Source organism: Homo sapiens, chromosome 9 (assembly GCF_000001405.40).
Source record: "Homo sapiens chromosome 9, GRCh38.p14 Primary Assembly".
NCBI classification, from domain to species: Eukaryota; Metazoa; Chordata; class Mammalia; order Primates; family Hominidae; genus Homo; species Homo sapiens.
The window spans coordinates 6,949,137-6,967,836 of NC_000009.12; the positions used below are offsets into that span (position 1 = coordinate 6,949,137).

Sequence of the window (18,700 nt, forward strand, 5' to 3'; positions counted from 1 at the left end):
CTGCTGGGCGGAGGGGCTCCTCACTTCTTAGACGGGGTGGCTGCCGGGCGGAGGGGCTCCTCACTTCTCAGACGGGGCGGCCGGGCAGAGACGCTCCTCACCTCCCAGACGGGGTTGCGGCCGGGCAGAGGCGCTCCTCACATCCCAGATGATGGGTGGCCGGGCAGAGACGCTCCTCATTTCCTAGACGGGATGGCGGCCGGGAAGAGGCGCTCCTCACTTCCCAGACTGGGCAGAGGGGCTCCTCACATCCCAGACGATGAGTGGCCAGGCAGAGACGTTCCTCACTTCCCAGACGGGGTGGCGGCTGGGCAGAGGCTGTAATCTCGGCACTTTGGGAGGCCAAGGCAGGCGGCTGGGAGGTGGAGGTTGTAGCGAGCCAAGATCACGCCACTGCCCTCCAGCCTGGGCACCATTGAGCACTGAGTGAACGAGACTCCATCTGCAATCCCGGCACCTCGGGAGGCCGAGGCTGGCAGATCACTCGCGGTTAGGAGCTGGAGACCAGCCCGGCCAACACAGCGAAACCCCGTCTCCACCAAAAAAAATACGAAAACCAGTCAGGCGTGGCGGCGCGCGCCTGCAATCGCAGGCACTCAGCAGGCTGAGGCAGGAGAATCAGGCAGGGAGGTTGCAGTGAGCGGAGATGGCAGCAGTACAGTCCAGCTTCGGCTCGGCATCAGAGGGAGACCGTGGAGGGAGAGGGAGACCGTGGGGAGAGGGAGAGGGACCATTTTTTTTGTTAATGAAGCCAAAGAATCAGAGATAAATTGATGTTCTTTCTGGATTTTTGAGATCCCTGCATTAATTGATTTAAGGCTCAAGTATAACTAGCTTATTTAGCCCAAGGAGTCACATTTCTTCATAGTTAACTTTTGAAACTTCTCTGGCCACCCATGTGGCTGGTTTTTTTTTTTTTTTTGGTGGAGTATCTTTTCTTGTTTTTTTTTTTCCTCAAGCTTTATTGAGATATAGTGGACAAATAAAAATGGTATGTATTTACAGCATACAATGTGATGTTTTGAGATGCATAAATATTTTGAAATGATTAGCAAATTTTATTATAGAAGGTTGTCTTGAACCTTAAATTCTCCTTTCCAGAGGTTTTATTGATGTGAACTATTCTTTCTATAGTTCATTATGATTTTTCCCTTGTGTTTGTTAATGTTGGCATTTTAAATAATCATGGTAAGTAGAAATCTATGTTTAGAATGAAGAAAATTACACTGATCTAGGCTTTTTTGTTTTTGGTTTTATTTTTCCCTGTCTTTGAGAGTGCAGCCTCTAGGTATGGGGTAAATTCATCCATACAGATTTTAGAGTGTTGATAGATTTGAGGGGAAGTATTTATGTGAAAACCTGTACTGGACAGTTGTTAATATGGATCCCTACTAAATTCAAAGCAAATTTAAGCTGCCTCATTGTCCCTTAGCAATTAGATGATCATCAAATGCTGGTTTAAGTGAGATTATCTCTGTATTCTGTTTATTAATACTGATTAAACTCAAAACTAGCTCTTCTAGCTAGCCAATGTTCCCTCCTGATAACGTTTATTGTAGCTGCTTATTATCATTTACATAAAAGTTGAAGTTTTCAGGGAGAGAAAGCATACTTTTTTATGGTTAACTAACTAATAAATACCTTTAAGGAGGTGCATATGCCTTTTCATGGTTCATCCGGTTCAGTATCTTTTCTTTGACTGCTCTACCAAAAAGCTGTGGCTGAGTTAAAATCTCAGATCCTTAGTAGTCATGCCATGAACCTTTCCTTAAATGTTTCAGATAACAGAAAATACTTGAATTTTGGGGGGAGGAGGAATAGCTTTACAGTACTTATTCTTTGCCATCTCTGAAGGGAGGCATTCATTTATTCATTCTTTAACATTTTTAAATTTTATTTTATTAATTTTTTTTTAACTTGACAATAATTGTACATATTCATTGGGTACATAGTGATGTTTTAATACATACAATTTATAGTGATCAGTCAGGGTAATTCACATACCCATCATCTCAAACACTTATCATTTCTTGGTGTTGGGAACATTCAATGTCTTCTTTCTTAGCTATTTGAAATTATATATTTCTATTAACTATAGTCATCCTACAGTGGTATGGAACACTAGAACTTATTGCTTCTATCTAGCTGTAACTTTGTATCCTTTAACACATCTCTCCCTGTCCTTATATGCTTTTGAGTTATAAATTAAAACCTGATAATAAACTCTGTCTTCTGGACTCTGAAGCCCAGTATCAGTTTCTTCTAGTCATGATCTGATTACATTCTGGTGCCCTTATGGAGACTGATACATCCCATGAGATTATGGGCACCACTAGTTGCATTTTGTTTTTTGTTGGGAGTCGGCTTTCTATGAAAAAGAGGAATGTCTTGGGAACAGGAGTTAAGAGTGTGTATTTATGGTGGGGGCTATTGAGTATCTCTTGTAACCAGAACTGACCATTTAAGCCGAGTGTTAAACTCTGTGCAATCTACAGATAATTATAACAGGACAATTACCCATGGTATACAGTTTAGACATAACTTTGGGAAAACACTTAACTGTATTGAGAATTTGACTGTCATTGTCCTATTTCATGCATTTAATCATGTAGCATAGAGATGCCCAAATTCATTTATAATTAAAAGAGAAAAATTTGTATGATTTACTTCACTTAGTACTTTGTATGTGAATTGGGTATGAAGTCATGAAAACAATAGCAATATTATTTAAATGACACGTTATAAATATATGATTATGATAATTGATCTTTTGTCATTTTAAGTTTTAAATTTTTTTTTCTCTTTATGCCTTTAATATTGGGGTATGGCAGTGTGATTTTTGAAAATTGACCCTGCTGTTACTTAGCTCATATTTAAAAAATATAATAACCAGAGTTTATAAGGCTGAACTTAAATGGGCTTAAAAAATACATTGTTGATGATACTGTAAACTGATTTAATCTTTATGAAAGGAAATTTGAGGAAAATGTGTGAAAAATTACAAAATGCACCCCCTACAACCTGACATTTTATTTCTGAAAAGTTGATCTAAGGATTTAGAAATAGTTATTGGTATATGTAAAGATGTTTAACATAGAGTTATTTAAAACAGCAAAGCAAAGCAACCTGATGGTACGCCTATGTCCAAGAGTAAAGGGTTAGATAAATAAATCAATCGTGGTACAGTTTTATAGGAAAAGAGTATGAAACCATTCAGTAATGTTGTTAGGCCAATACTTACTGATATGGGAAATTGTTCACAGTGTGTATGTGTGTATATATATATATATATATAATAATAATTATTATTATATGTTTTTTTGAGATGGAGTCTCACTTTGTTGCCCAGGCTGGAGTGCAGTGGCACGATCTCGGCTCACTGCAACCTCTGCCTCCTGGGTTCAAGTTATTCTCCTGCCTCAGGCTCCCAAGTAGCTGGGATTACAGGCACCCACAACCACGCCTGGCTGATTTTTGTGTTTTTAGTAGAGACGGGGTTTCACTATGTTGGCCAGGCTGATCTCAAACTCCTGACCTCAGTTGATTCACCTGCCTTGGCCTCCCAAACTGATGGGATTACAGGTGTGAGCCACTGTGCCCGGCCCCAGAGTATGTTTTAAAAGAAAGATCATGTGCAGTATTTGTTCCAGTGACATAAGTGCTCTTAGAAAGATGAACGTAAGATAAATAGGTTAAATGTGGTTCTCTATAAGTGGTTGTTATTTTCTTTATGATAGTCCTTGTTACTCAACATTTGTACAGTGAGCACGGTTTGCAGTCGGGGGAGGGAGATCTAATATTTTTAAAGATTTTACTTCTTTAAATGACTGGTACTTGCATTTTTATGTGATGTCATTTTAAAAATGGTTTAAGGCAGCAGAATGAATATGATAAAATGTAATGCATTATCTGAGCCATTTTCATGATTAATTGATACTTTACTATTTTAGATGTTAGAAAATTCCTTGCCAACGTTTCTCTGTAAAATAGCTGGAGTAGGCAGTAGATCTTTTTTGTTCATTTTAGCTTATTTTATGAATGGATATTTATTATGAAAAGCATCAGACATCTCCCTTTCACTCAAACAAGACAGCCTGAGTGTTCTCACTTGAAATATAGAGTGGTCTGTGTATTTAATCACCAGCTTATTCAGCAGTTTTGATTCTCATGGAGTAAAGGCTTTCCCGCCTTTATTTTTTGAAGATGAAATTGAGAGATTTAAACATAATTTATTCTGCTTTGACCTATGGTTTGAATTAACTTGGCTGTTTGCATTTATTTTCAAAAGAAACATTTAATACTTGCAATGCAATAATCTGATCAATCTCTTTGTCTTTCAAATTGCTCTGGAGGCTGTTCTAAGCTGCCTAGACTATAAAGCTTTCTTTTATTAGAATATGAAATATAAAATTGATTTTGATAGCTCATTTTGAAAATAATGTGTATTTAAGGGAGTAATATTTTGTTTCAAATAAAAGTCTCAGTGTACCATGTTATACAAATATTTTACCAATTCATGTGGACCTTTTCTTGCTGATCCTCAGATATGATTTGTGACCTTTGAGAGAACGGAGGATTTTTAAAAACGTCAACTATAGAATTAGTTATGAGTAATAGTGAATACACTGATTTTCCTAATATGCCACCATATCATCCCTATTTTCTTCTCCCAAACTTGAATGGTATTCTCTGCTTCCTGCTGCCTCATCATCATTACATATTCACTTCTTGACCCTTGGAAATCTGGTTCCTCTTCCAACCATTTAGCTGAATTTGCTCTCCAAAGTCACCACATACCTAGTTTTTATATTAAAGTCTTCATCTTGAATTTACCTTTTCAGCCTCTCTGAGGTTTCAGAAGTAGCTGTCGGGGGTCAGCAAACCTTGCGCATAGGACTTCTTTGCTTTCTCTTCCTTCACTGCATTCATGGATACTTCACCTCATTCTATGCTCACATCAAACCAGTCAGGCAGTATACATTCTCAGGTGAATTGTCTCCTCCATGTCTTCTGTCCCTTCGTACACAGATACATAGGATTCTGATCCTATATATCTTTCAGTGTCTAGTTCAAACAGCAGGGCTGCCTTTCCCATGCAATATGACTTTCTCCTCTTTTCTCCTGAGACTCTTGGAATGTCTGCTTAGTACTCGGTCACGTCAATGTCTTCATAGTATGTTTGTTTTTATGTTCCTGGAAGAGTGGGGCTATGGTATAATTAATTATGTCTGTATTTTCGTAGAACTCTGCACAATTCCTGCACCCATCAGCTCATAATTGTTTGTTATATTGAATAAAATGAAGGATTTTATTGACAATGAACTATTCTGGTAGCTACTCTTGACAAGTCTCAGACATGATCTTTTTATTTGTCTGTTCACGATGTGTTAGCCTGGGGACCAAGGAGAGGCCTTATTGATCTATCTATAAAATTATATGAAAAATTCTTATATATGTTAATAATGTGCAGGTTTCTGGAGTTTGGATTCATAGCTTTGAGGAAATTGTGAAAGGCAGCTTTTACAAGGCTAAGATATTCTAATTTAAATGATTTAGCATTCTATGTAACTTCTTAAAAGTACCTAGCCCAACAATGGAGAGTGAAAGCCAGTAACTATTGTCAGGTCAGTTGAGAATCTCTGAATGGGCAGACTTCATGTACCCACTCCCTATTTCATGGGTTTTAGTATTTGGCAAATTCAGAAAATTCTTGTTTAGTTCCATTTAGGGTTAAGTAATTTGACCAGGAACAGAATATTGCAAATTGGGAATTAAAGGCCAGAATCCGATACTAATTATTTTGCTTCAGTCTCTAGTACTGCAGGAGGCATCAGGGACTTTCTGTTGGAAGAGTGGGAACTCTTTATTAGTTTGCTAACGTGAACAATGATGTACTAAAGGAATTTTGTGGCTAGACCCCTCTTCCTCCCCTTCAGGAACAGGTGCATCTCCTGGGAGCATAAAAGGTCCATTGCTGGTTACTGGATGGTGAAAGCCTTTGGGCTTCCAGACTAGAGCCAAGATCTGAATGCCTCTCTATATTTTAGCAGAAATTCTTCTACTGTGGGGTGGTAGGAGTGGACAGAGTTTTAATAGTATCAGTTTTTGGTCAGTGATAGGAGAAAGAGGTAATCAGTTCCTTAGGTGGGGTAAGGCACAGAGAGATGAAATGCCCAATGCACAGTTGTGTCAGTAGGTTTTGGTTTTACCTTTGAATAGAGACAAAGCTGTTTGCTGTTTTGTTTCTTGTCCTTGGTTCACCCTTTGTTTTTCATGCAGTGCAGTGGACCATGACTCAGGCCCTGCAGAGCTGAGTATAGAGGCCCCTTTTCCAAGAGCAGAGAAGGATGCCTTTGATCTGGATTCACATAATCATTCAGCCCTCTTATTGTGTTGCCTGCATATTTGCATGGAATCTGTGCCGCAGCTTTATCGAAGTATGACTCTAGAAAAGGAAAACGTGACCAGCCTCTGATTAATGGCATGATGGCTTTTAACGTTTGGCGCTTGAAATTTTTTCAGCTTTTCCCTTTCTTCTTATGTAAAATAGTTATAATCTTTTGGCTCCTTGCCACATTTGCCTTATGAGCAGTACCAAGTCAGTTAACTCAGTTGTGGAGAAAAATACACACTCTGTATCAAAGTGTCTCAGAATTTGATGTATTAACTTTAATTTCCAGAGCAAGTCACTAACCGCAGATGGAACACAGTGACGCTTTGTCTAGTACAAAATTGTTCTCAATCTTTATAATGCTAGTAAAAGAGCACAATACAACCAGTTGTCTTTAGCTAGGGTTGGAAATACAACAGAACTGTGCCACCTCTGCCTCTGCCTCATTTCCAGAGTGTGTTTTAGTTCCTTCAGAAACTGCAGTGTGCACATGTTCTCACTTATTTATGAGATCTAAAAATCAAAAGAATTGAACTCATGGACATGGTAGAAGGATGGTTACCAGAGGCTGAGGAGGGTAGTTGGGGGTGGTGATGGGGAGGTGGGGATGGTTAATGGGTACAAAAAAATAGATTTAATAAGATCTACTAGTTGATACCACAATGTGGTGACTATAGTCGATAATAACTTAATTGTACATTTAAAAATCTACTTCAAGAGTGTAATTGGATTGTTTGTAACTCAAAGGATAAATGCTTGAGGGGATGGATACTCCATTCCCCATGATGTGCTTATTTCACATTGCATGCTTGTATCAAAACACCTTATGTACTCCACAAATATACACACCTACTAAGTACCCATAAAAATTTAAAAAATTAAAAAAAATTGTAATGTGGGTGCGGACGAAGGCTATCTTGTAATTGGTGTTTGTTGCCCACTAAAAGGGTCAAATGTCACCTCACCTGTTTTTCTGAAACTCCATTTCTAAGTTGGGTTGGCACACTATACCCCCCTGCCTGTATTTGTAAATAACATTATTTTGGGACACAGCCATGCTCATTTGTTTATGTATTATCTAAGGTTGCGTTTGTACTACAATGGCTGACTTGAGTGGTTGTGACAAAAGATCATATAATACACAGAGCCTAAAATATTTTTACAGAAAGATATCACCAATCCCTTCTTTATGAGGTCTGACCAGGCCCAGGGACCTCATGTATTTAGATGTTGTCTGTGCAGCTTAGGTGATTAACCAGCTGGCATGCTTTATGTTTTTTGGTAGCAGAATCTTTCTTTTATCAAGGCATAGTAGGGTATCCATTTCTTTGGCTTCAGAGCTCAGCTGGAGCGCTATAGTTTCTGGTAGTGTCTCTGGTACTGAAGCCTTCTCTGCCATCCTCTGGCTTGGTTCTGTTTCTGAAATAGTGTCTTACTGGTCAGGCAGTGTTAAGTTGCAGTCTTTCTCACAGTTGCAGCTCTTACATTTGGTTACGATGGACAAGGGACCAGCTGGCTTTGCTGACCCACTTCATAGTGGGGCTGATTAATATGAGCCATTATCTTCTGTTTGTGATATTTTTCAAGCTGCATTATCTAGAGGTAGAAAATAATGACTCTGGCATAAGCTGTTTTATTTGTAATGCCTTGCAAACACATGTGCAAATTCTCCCTGGCACACAGCTGCTTAGGAAGATTATGTTCTGCATAATGCTGCCTGTTGTCACTTTTGATACTTATTTTTATCACAAGTCCTTTTCTATGTTTCATTATAAATATTGTGCACTAACCCTACCATCTATTTTCTTTACAAGATGACTAGTTGCAAGAAGGAAAGCTGTGTCCTGCCTTTTATGAGGGTTTTTGGCATTCGCTTTCCATTGAAACTCTCTTATGGGACCCTGTTCTTTCCAGGGAAAAGAAACCTGCCTTTTGGCCACTTTTAGAGCTTGTTAATACCACCATGATATTAGGTAATTTTTTTTTTTCTGCAGTAATAGCAGCCACAGTGGTAGTGGCAGCGACATTGTCGGAGAATACTGGTAGGTCACCACCACCACCATAAGAGATCAAACGTGGAGGCTGCTGTTTCTCTGTGTTGTGACTGATATTTTCTATTGGTTGCACAATTGTGTTGTTTGTGAAATGGAACCAGGAGTGGGTCTGGGTGTTCATGTTATAGCAGGAGCCATGTCAAGCCAGGGTGGTGGGGAGGGGGTGAAAACATGGCATGCACTCAGCTCCAGAATCAGAGAGCTGGGTCTGCATACTGGCCCTCTTGCTTCTTGGCTAGAAACCCTTGTGCAAACTGCCTAACCCTCCTGAACCTCATGTTCATGGACAATAAAACACAATTCGAGTACATATATTTTTAATTGATGATGGTAATAATAAACAGTGTTATCGAAAGCCTGTAGAATCCGTGTTTGAGGGCCATGGAGAAGTTGGGTGGTGAGACGGTGTGACCTCCAAGTATATTGCTTCTCCGAGGGAGAGAACAATTGTAGACATATAAACATTAGTTATAACAACTGAGGGTTTGCTTCAGCAAAGTAGCTTTTTTTTTTTTTTAATAATTGCTTGTAGATACTCTTTTTATTGCAGGGACAGAAAGTTTTTCTCCAACCAGGTGTTTCCAAAAGTGACTCACAATGCCGTCTTTCACCTGTTAACTCTGCAGTCTTGTCAAACAATTAATAATAATACAATAGTATTTTTACTAGAAATTATTTAACTACTGTGACAGCAGCTAAGGATAAGAATTATATCACATTGAGGCCGGTGCGGTGGCTCACGCTTGTAATACCAGCACTTTGGGAGGCCAAGATGAGTGGATTATCTGAGACCAGAAGTTCGAGACCAGCCTGACCAACATGGTGAAACCCTGTCTCTACTAAAAATACAAAAAAATTAGCTGGGCATGGTGGCATGCACCTGTAATCTCAGCTACTTGGGAGGCTGAGGCAGGATAATTGCTCCAACCAGGGAGGCAGAGGTTGTGGTGAGCCGAGATCGCGCCATTGCATTCCAGCCTGGGCAACAGAGCAAGACTCTGTCTGAAAAAAAAAAAATCGTATCACACTGAGTAAGGAATATTTACTTTTTCCCCCTAGTAGTTTGGCTATAATGTTAAAAATACATTATGCCTTTCTTTATATGATTTTTTTTTTTTTTTGGGACAGGGTCTCACTCTGTTACCCAGGCTAGAGTGCAGTGGCATGTTCATGGCTCACTGCAACCTCCATCTCCTTCCACCTCCGCCTCCCATGTGGTTGGGACCACAGGTGCGCACCACCACACTGGCTAATTTTTGTGTTTTTCATAGATGCAAGCTGGTCTCGAACTCCTGGGCTCAAGCGATCCACCTGCCTTGGCCTCCCGAAGTGTTGGGATTACAGGCGTGAGCCACCATGCCCAGCCTATGTGTAATGTTATGATAATATTATTAGAGCACAGATGATAGGTTCAATAGAAGGAAATCATAAAGTTCCTTTTATGCCTCCTTTTTAAAGCCTGGAGCCTAGAATAAAACATTTATAGTCCTGCCCAAGTTTTCTCTTCCTTTTTCAGAGATATCCAGGAACCCAGTGAACAAATGACTTAGCTTGATGTAGATTTACCCCCAAACACTACTTTTAAAAGAAGTAGGTGAGAAGAGGAGCACTAGAGAGCCCAGTTTTCTTCATGGTTTTATCGTCTGTTTGAAATCCCCATGCTGGTCCCACCATGTAGTCCCAGATGTTACTTTTTATTTGACCATAGTTAGAGGAGTGGATGTCAGAGTCCCCTCACTCTTGAAAGTGTTGGTCTGTTTCTTTGCCTCCCTGTCCTTTTCTTCAGATACTAGACTGTGGTACCTGTCAGAGGCTCTTGGAGAATATGCCTTGAAGAATGATTTCTGAACTTTGGTCTGCCTATTGTATTTTAAGTGTACTCACTCTGTCTTGCTTGTCGTTATCTTAGCATAGTGCCACCTGATACACAGAAGCTACATATTTACTCTGAGCAACTGCAAGAGCCAGCTGGTAGGTTTTTACACTGGTAAAATTTACTGAGGAAGTTTGTATCTACTGTCATTCTATAGATTTGTTTCAATTTAAGAGTTTATATTATAGTTAATAAGACAACTTCAAGAAGAGTATGTGAATTGTAGTATATAGTCATGGCATGTTAATTCTGTGAAATTGTAGTCTAGTTAGGCTACACGAATTATGACTACTCATAAGTTGTTTACACCAAATAACATGACGGATATATATGTCTTCCTTTCAGTTGTAATAAAAGGAAATGCCTGTCAACTTAATTTATCACCAGGCATGTTCTTATTTAAAGCCTCTTAAAATGAAATAAAAGCCTGACCTAAGATTATGGTTACTACGAAAGTGACAACAGCTGTGGTATAAAATACTGTAGGGGCCTCTGCTGCCATACTAACAACTGTGTAGCCCGTATGAAAAGCTGTTACATCCAGTGAATGCTTGTAGATACAGAAACGATTAAAGTAATCCTCCCAAGCAGAAGTCTGAGAGGCCATCTGATCCAAGTCCCTGAGAGATTCCTTAGGGGTCAAGACCTTCCCAAAGTCACAATGGAGAAAAAGCTTGGCCAATATTCCTTTCCCCATTCCCTCTCTACTCCAGGGCAGAACTGCTGCAGTCCTGATATTTATTACAGATGCATATACTGTTTCATTCCACAAAGACTGTGAAGCAGTTGAAAGAAGGATAAATGGAAGCTCTTTTAAAATGTTTTTAATTTTTTTTTTTTTTTTTTAAATACAGGGTCTCTGTCACCCAGGCTGAAGTACAGTGGCATAATCATAGCTCACTGCAGCCTGGACCTCCTGGGCTCAAGGGATCCTCTCTCCTCAGTCTCCTGAGTAGCTGGAACTATAAGCTTGCATCACCACACTCATCTAGGGGTCACTCTCTTTGTTTCCCAGGATGGTCTAAAACTCCTGGGCTCAAGCAGTCCTCCTACCTCGGCCTTCCAAAATGCTGGAATTACAGGCATGAGTCACTGTGCGTGGCCTATAAAAAGGAAGCTCTTTAAAGATTGTCATAGAAAGTAGGAAAAAAGGAAGTTCTTTAAAGAGTGTCGTAGGGAGAAAGATGGTTTAAAGATGATTTCACACTGACACAAATTTTCATGTACATGTGTATCCATTTGTCCCATATCTGAATGCCCACCCTTTGTAGGCAGTAAACAGTCTCTTTCTCCAAGTTGCTTAGACCCAGTGCAGACATTCTCAGCTTCAGCAATATTGTCATTTTTAGCAGCATCCTGGCCTTTAGAAATGCCTTCAGGCATTCTCAAATATCCCCTAGGAAGCAAAAATCACCTCAGTTGAGAACCACTAGGCTAGTGAGCACTACAGTCTAGTGTGGGAAACGGACAACCACACAGAAAAATGACATCCATACACGCATTGTGAAACAGTAGACTACTTATGAGCGACATGGGGTTCAGTGATGGAGAACAGCAAGAGGTGGCTTCTAGGACACTCTCAAATTCACTTTCTTTTTCTTAGGCTGACACTTAAACACCATGTAGTGCCTCTTGAATAGCCACACAAGTTTGTTTATATTATGTCAGCATTGTGAGTTTGCAAACATTTGACAAAATTTATTTACTAAAGGTAATATCTAAAATTAGTTGTCCTTTATTTTAAAAGTTAAATATTGCTATAGCCTAATAGTCATGAAATAGAAAAGGATGGCTTGATAATTATCCAGTGGTAATTATGGAGGACAGTCTTGTCATCATGTTACTAGATGTGTGCAGCACTAAACGTGGGGTGGTGAATAGAAGAACCATATTACATCCAGATGGCTTGCATGCATATATAGTGTTTTGTGTTTATGTTACTGCCTTACTAGATGCAGGTACTGAAAGGTATCCACCTACTTTCTGAACAGAGATAGTCGTGGTTGTATAAACTGTCAGAAAATGAGTGCATAAACTTTCTGTTTGTAAAGAAGGTAACATTGTAACTATTTCTCATCAGACAGAATATAGTATTTATACATAGCATAATTCATTAGTAAGGTATAAATTGTCTTTTTAAATATCTAATGTCTTAAATTATGACTTAACTAAATTCAAAATTATTTATCATAGTAATCCTTGTTATCAAAATTCAAATAGGTGAGTGTAATATACAAGGTAAGGGTCTGTGGCCCTGTCAAACAAAAACAAAAATAAAAACATGGTGACCTCTTTGATGGTATTTAGCTTTATTACTTTTCTGTCATCCGTTCATTGTCATGATTATTTTTCCATATTATTGCATCTTCTCAATAGAAATTGCCATCATTTTAAAGCTTTTTTCCCTTCTAGCTTATGGTGTTTTAAGGATGTTGTGAATGCAGTTTCTGTGTACTACTGAATGAGTGCATGTATAAATCAAAGACTGTAGGGAATGCCTGCTGGCCTTCACAAGTTCATTTATAAATCAGCTACTGGGTCGGTTATGCTTGGTAACATTAACTTCGTTATGTACTTATGTCAGAGTCGTGAGGAACCCTAGAGTCACAGTGGGATACAAGAGGAGCACCAGGGGGCTCTATTGGCTGTGATTTTGAAGAAAATGAATTAAATTGATTGATTGAAAAAAGCAATAGGAGTGAATTTGATTAGGCATGTATGTACACATTTAAATATATCTTGTACTTTGTATGCTCAACAGCCTGGATGAACACACAGCATACATTATAGCTTAAGCTCCCTTCCTGTAGCAGTGTTTAATCTAGCTAGCAGTAATTCAAGAAAAAATTATATCCAAATGCATTTGAAGATGAAATGTAGATAAGTTATCCAGTCTTCTAGTGTTCAGAAACGCAAACTGACCTTTGGACAGTGAATCCATTAATGTTCAGATGAGTTAAGGATAATTGCAATTTTCAGCTTCTGAGATAATCACATAATCAGACCGTATGAAGTCAACACTTTATGGTTTCATTTTTAAACAAAGTATGAGCAATGATCTTTTTAATCAGTATGATTTTATTAAAGGAACAAGAAATCCTATAAATGTTTTCAGCATTTACATTTTCACATAGTAAATTTTTTATAGTCAACATGATAGATTCTGTAAAATAAGATACATTTCTTTGTTCCATTAGTAGAGAAAAAAAAAGACATCAGCTGTAATGACTGTCACAACCCTGACTCAGATTTATTTCTTCTTAATTCAGCAGTTCTTCTGGGCATTTAGATTATAATACTTAAATGCATTTAGGTAACATGAAAACTTTAAATTGTGTATTTATTTTTAAAATCTCATGTAATTACTCAATTACTAAAAAAAGAAATCAACATCAAGAATCAAGTACTAATGTTTTCTGTAATTCATTATGCATGTGAGAATTATCTAGCTAAAATGTTAAATCTCAGACCTATAAATATTTTACAAGATACATATAAGCTGTTTATGGACATGATATAGTTGGTTTAAAATTAAAATTTGAGCCAGTAATGTCTTGTGGAATCAGGCTTCTTGGGTTTGAATCTTGTGTCCACCATGAACTTTATGCAAATTACTTAATCTTTCTGTGCATTGGTTTTCTCATCTGTTATGTGGGGATAATAATTATGCCAACCTCTGAGGATTGAGTTGTTAAATGCAGTGTACTTAGAATGGTGCTCAGTACTTAGTAAACTGTAAAGTGATTAAAAAAGTGATTCTTAGCAAGTAGTTTTTAGTAAGCAAATAAAAAAATACTAGACAAATGCTTTTAGTAGTATTAATAATTGTTGGAAATATATTCATGGACACATTTTTTATTCAGTTATTAATTCATGCAGTAAATATTTATTGACCACTCTGGTTGGGAGTTGCAGTGATGCAGGATAAGCACAATCTTTGTCCTCTTACAGGAAGCCCAGAGGCTGACATTATGAAATAATGATACAACTAATTATGACCAGTAGTATCGTGCCGCATATTCATGGCATTGAGTTGTTTGTGGTAGGGGAGCTGACCTAGTCTATGGGCATTTAAGGTGAAATATGAAGCATGTTAGCTAGATAAATACAGTTGGTGCAACAAGGTAACAATACAGAGAAAGATTCAGGATGTAGCAGAGGGGTAACAGTGGAGAGACAGGACATCTGAGTTGATACTGATGGTTTCATTGCTGTTTAAATTTATGAGATCCATTCCTTCTCTTGCAATGTGTCCTGTCCTGTGTCTTCCGCACATTCTTCCAGAGAAGCATCATTTTCCTGCCTCTCAGTCTTCTTAGACTACCTCAAGGCCCCTAACAGCTACCTATATGTTTTTCTACTTGATGGTGTTTCCGCCACCCTGACAGTTCCCTCTCACATTTCATTTTTAATCCTTCTGTTTCTTGCTATCACTTTTTTAGCTATTCCTAGATTAACTATTCAGTGCAGAGGAGTATTTGAATGTTTGAAAAATGGTTAGAAAGCAGCTTCATTTGCAAGCTGTTGGAGCTAATAATTTTGACTGTTAGAAAGCTAAGAACATAACTCTGATGTTAATATTTTACTATTATTATTATTTTTCTGTAATCTTTGCTTTCTTTATTGTCATTTTATTTTATTTATTTCAGTTATACTTTAAGTTCTAGGCTACATGTGCACAACGTGCAGGTTTGTTACACATGTATACATATGCCACGTTGGTGTGCTGCACCCATTAACTCATCATTTACATTAGGTATATCTTCTATTGCTATCCCTCCCCCCTCCCCTGACCCCCCAACAGGCCCAGGTGTGTGATATTCCCCATCCTGTGTCCAAGCGTTCTCATTGTTCAATTCCCACCTATGAGTGAGAACATGCGGGGTTTGGTTTTCTGTCCTTGGGATAGTTTGCTGAGAATGATGGTTTCCAGCTTCATCCGTGTCGCTACAAAGGACATGAACTCATCCTTTTTTTATGGCTGCATAGTATTCCATAGTGTATATGTGCCACATTTTCTTAATCCAGTCTATCATTGATGGACATTTGGATTGGTTCCAAGTCTTTGCTATTGTGAATAGTGCCACAGTAAACATACATGTGCATGTGTCTTTATAGAGTTCAAGACCAGCCTGGGCAACACGGTGAAACCCCATCTCTACTAAAAAATACAAAAAATTAGCCGGGTGTGGTGGTGGGCGCCTGTAGTCCCAGCTACTCGTGAGGCTGAGGCAGGAGAATGGCGTGAACCCGGGAGGTGGAGCTTGCAGTGAGCCGAGATCACGCCACTGCACTCCAGCCTGGGGGACAGAGTGAGACTCCGTCTCAAAAAAAAAAAAAAAAAAAACCACAGACTGGGCGCAGTAGCACATGCCTGTAATCCCAGCTACTCGGGAGGCTGAGGCAGGAGAATCACTTGAGCCCAGGAGGCGGAGGTTGCAGTGAGCCGAGATCGCGCCATTGCACTCCAGCCTGGGCTACAGAGTGAGACTTCGTCGGGAAAAAAAAAAAGCAAAGTGAACGTATGCCTAGATTTTTCTCCTACATAACCTTTTTACACCCATTTACATTTTTTATTCTTAAACTTCTCTTTCTTGAATGCGAAAGTTTAGAAAAATGGAAATTTCCAGGAGGGTGCTTTATAATGGCTTTGTTTCCCATTACTCTTTCTTGCATGTTATTTATTTTTAATGAGAGAAAAATTATATGTAGGAAATAAAAGAGAAACGTGGCTCTGGCTGTGTAAGCATAGGAAGCCTTGAGCTTAACACAAGGCAAATTGCAAAGAAAAAAAAAGTCTAAAACCACATATCAATTTTATGTTCTCTAATACATGATATATATATATATATTTGGATATATTAGGTATATTTATGACTAAATTATAAATTTATATATAGAGAGATATATATGACTAAATTATATAAAGTGAGGACAGTAGTGCTAATTGATATTATGTGACATTTATCTCCAGAACACAAGTTTGTTAGGGTTCTCCAGACTAACAATACCAGCAGGATATGTGTGTGTGTATATATGTGTGTCTGTTTATGGATATGTCAGCATACTTAATTATGGAAGCTGAGAAACCTCAAGACTCTGCAGTCAATAAGTTGAATACTCAGAACTGATGATGTACTTTTCTGTCTGAGAGCTGGCATTCTTGAGACCCAAGCAAAACCTGTGTTTCAGGTGTGGTCTGAAGGCAGAAGCAAACTGATGTTCCAGTTCATGCAGTCAGACAAACAGGTCCTACTCCAGGGAGAGGCAGGGTCTCATTCCAAGGCCCTTTCAGCTTGTTAGATGGAGCCTACCCACTTGAGGGAGAGACATCTGCTTTACTCACTCTACTGATTCACAGTAATCGGATTATCCAAGTATCTAGAAACACCCTTACAGAAACACTCAGAATAATATCTTACTACATTTCTGGGTACCTCATGTTCCAGTCAAATTGACACATAAAATTAACCATCACAATAAGTTTGGTTTAACATTTAAAAGTCTATCAGTTTCATACACCATGTTAACAGAATAAAGGATAAAAAGCATATGACCATTTTATTAAATGCAGAGAAAGCAGCATGCTTTTTTTATTAAAAACTTTCAGAGTTAACTTTGCATTTAGATGGAAGTAAGTCTGAAAAACCTAAAGCAAATACCATACTAAATGGTGAAAATTTAGACACCTTAAGATTAAGATTTGGAACAAAGTAAGAATTTCCACTCCTAATACTTTTTTTTTTTAGACGGAGTCTCGCTCTGTCTCCCAGGCTGGAGTGCAGTGGCGGGATCTCGGCTCACTGCAAGCTCCGCCTTCCAGGTTCACGCCATTCTCCTGCCTCAGCCTCCTGAATAGCTGGGAATACAGGCGCCCGCCACTGCGCCCAGCTAATTTTTTGTATTTTTAGTAGAGACGGGGTTTCACTGTGGTCTTGATCTCCTGACCTCGTGATCCGCCCGCCTCTGCCTCCCAAAGTGCTGGGATTACAGGCGTGAGCCACCGCGCCGGGCCTCACTCTTAATACTTTTATGTAACATTTTACTGAAGGCCACAGCCACTGCAGTAAGCCAAGGCATGAAGATCAGAAACAAATAAGTAAAAATATCTCTGTTTGTAGATATGATTGTTTATGAAGAATAAATCTGTATGTAGATCTAGTTCTTGGTTTACGTCTAGATCTTCCTTAATAGAAGAGTTAATCCACATCAGATCCATATTTATATATGGTATTTAGTTTTTTGTCAAAGGCATCCAACCATCCAGTAGGGAAAAAAAGTCTTCATTATTTAGGACAAAATAAACCTTGAACCTCACCATACACAACTACTAATTCAAGATTTATCTTAGACCTGACAGAGAAAATTAATATAGGAAGCTATTAGATGAAAATATAGGGGACAGAGCTATCTTTATAACTTGAGGATAGGCAAAGACTGCTTAAATCACAGAATGCAATAATCATAAAAAAATTGATGATTTAGGGTCTCGTTAAAGTTAAAAACTGCTGCTCACCAAATATATCACTAAAAAATTGAATTAGCAAGACCCAGAGGAGGATAAAACATTTGCAAAACGTGTCTGATAAGGACTGGTAGTTGGGACATACAAAGAACCTGAAAAACTCAATCATGAAGTGACTAAAGCATCTCCCTGAAAAATGGGCCAAAAATTATACAGACTCCTGGCCGGGCATGGTGGCTCACACCTGTAATCCCAGCACTTGGGGAGGCCAAGGCAGGCGGATCACTTGAGGTCAGGAGTTCAAGACCAACCTTGCCAACATGGTGAAACCTCGTCTCTATTAAAAATACAAATATTAGCCGGGCTTGGTGGCAGGCGCCTGTAATCCCAGCTACTCGGGGGGCTGAAGCAGGAAGATCACTTGAGCCCAGGAGGCGGAGGTTGCAGTGAGCCAAGATTGTGCCGCTGCACTCCTGCCTGGGTGACAGAGCAAGCTTCCACTAAAAAAAAAAAAAAAAAAAATTGTACAGACTCTTGAGAAAGGAAGATATGCAAGATTAAAACGTTCACAGAAAGACTTGCACATGAATGTACAGTTGTTCCTAGTAAGTCTGGGTGCAAAAGGAACTAGGCTGTGAAATTGTTGGAAGGACTGGAGGAGTGAAACGGGCTTGTAGGGAAGATGCTGTTATCTGGAGATCATGACAGGCAGGGGGCTCACCTGCACCTGTATGCCTTCTGTTGCAATCTCTTTTTACTTTCTCTGCCTTATAATCTCTGTAAGTTTTCTCAATATGAGAACCATACCAGAGCCCTATTATCCTCGAGTTCAGAGTTCAGAAGATCCGGGATGATACACATTATTAGTACTCCATATCCTGGATTCTCATTATATTGTGAGTTTTTAGCAGTACAGA

At 38.9% G+C, this 18,700-nt stretch overlaps 1 protein-coding gene across 21 annotated transcripts in view, besides 1 other annotated feature; it reads left to right on the forward strand.

Annotated features, from left to right (window-relative positions):
• Positions 1–18,700, forward strand: part of KDM4C (lysine demethylase 4C) — a 454,786-nt gene that overhangs the window by 228,274 nt on the left and 207,812 nt on the right. The window lies entirely within an intron of this gene.
• Positions 11,578–11,677: an enhancer, noted in NCBI's record as "active region_28210". NCBI's record gives its function as "activates an Ori minimal core promoter by ATAC-STARR-seq in GM12878 lymphoblastoid cells {active_cell/tissue: GM12878}" and the evidence as "EXISTENCE:reporter gene assay evidence [ECO:0000049][PMID:35858748]".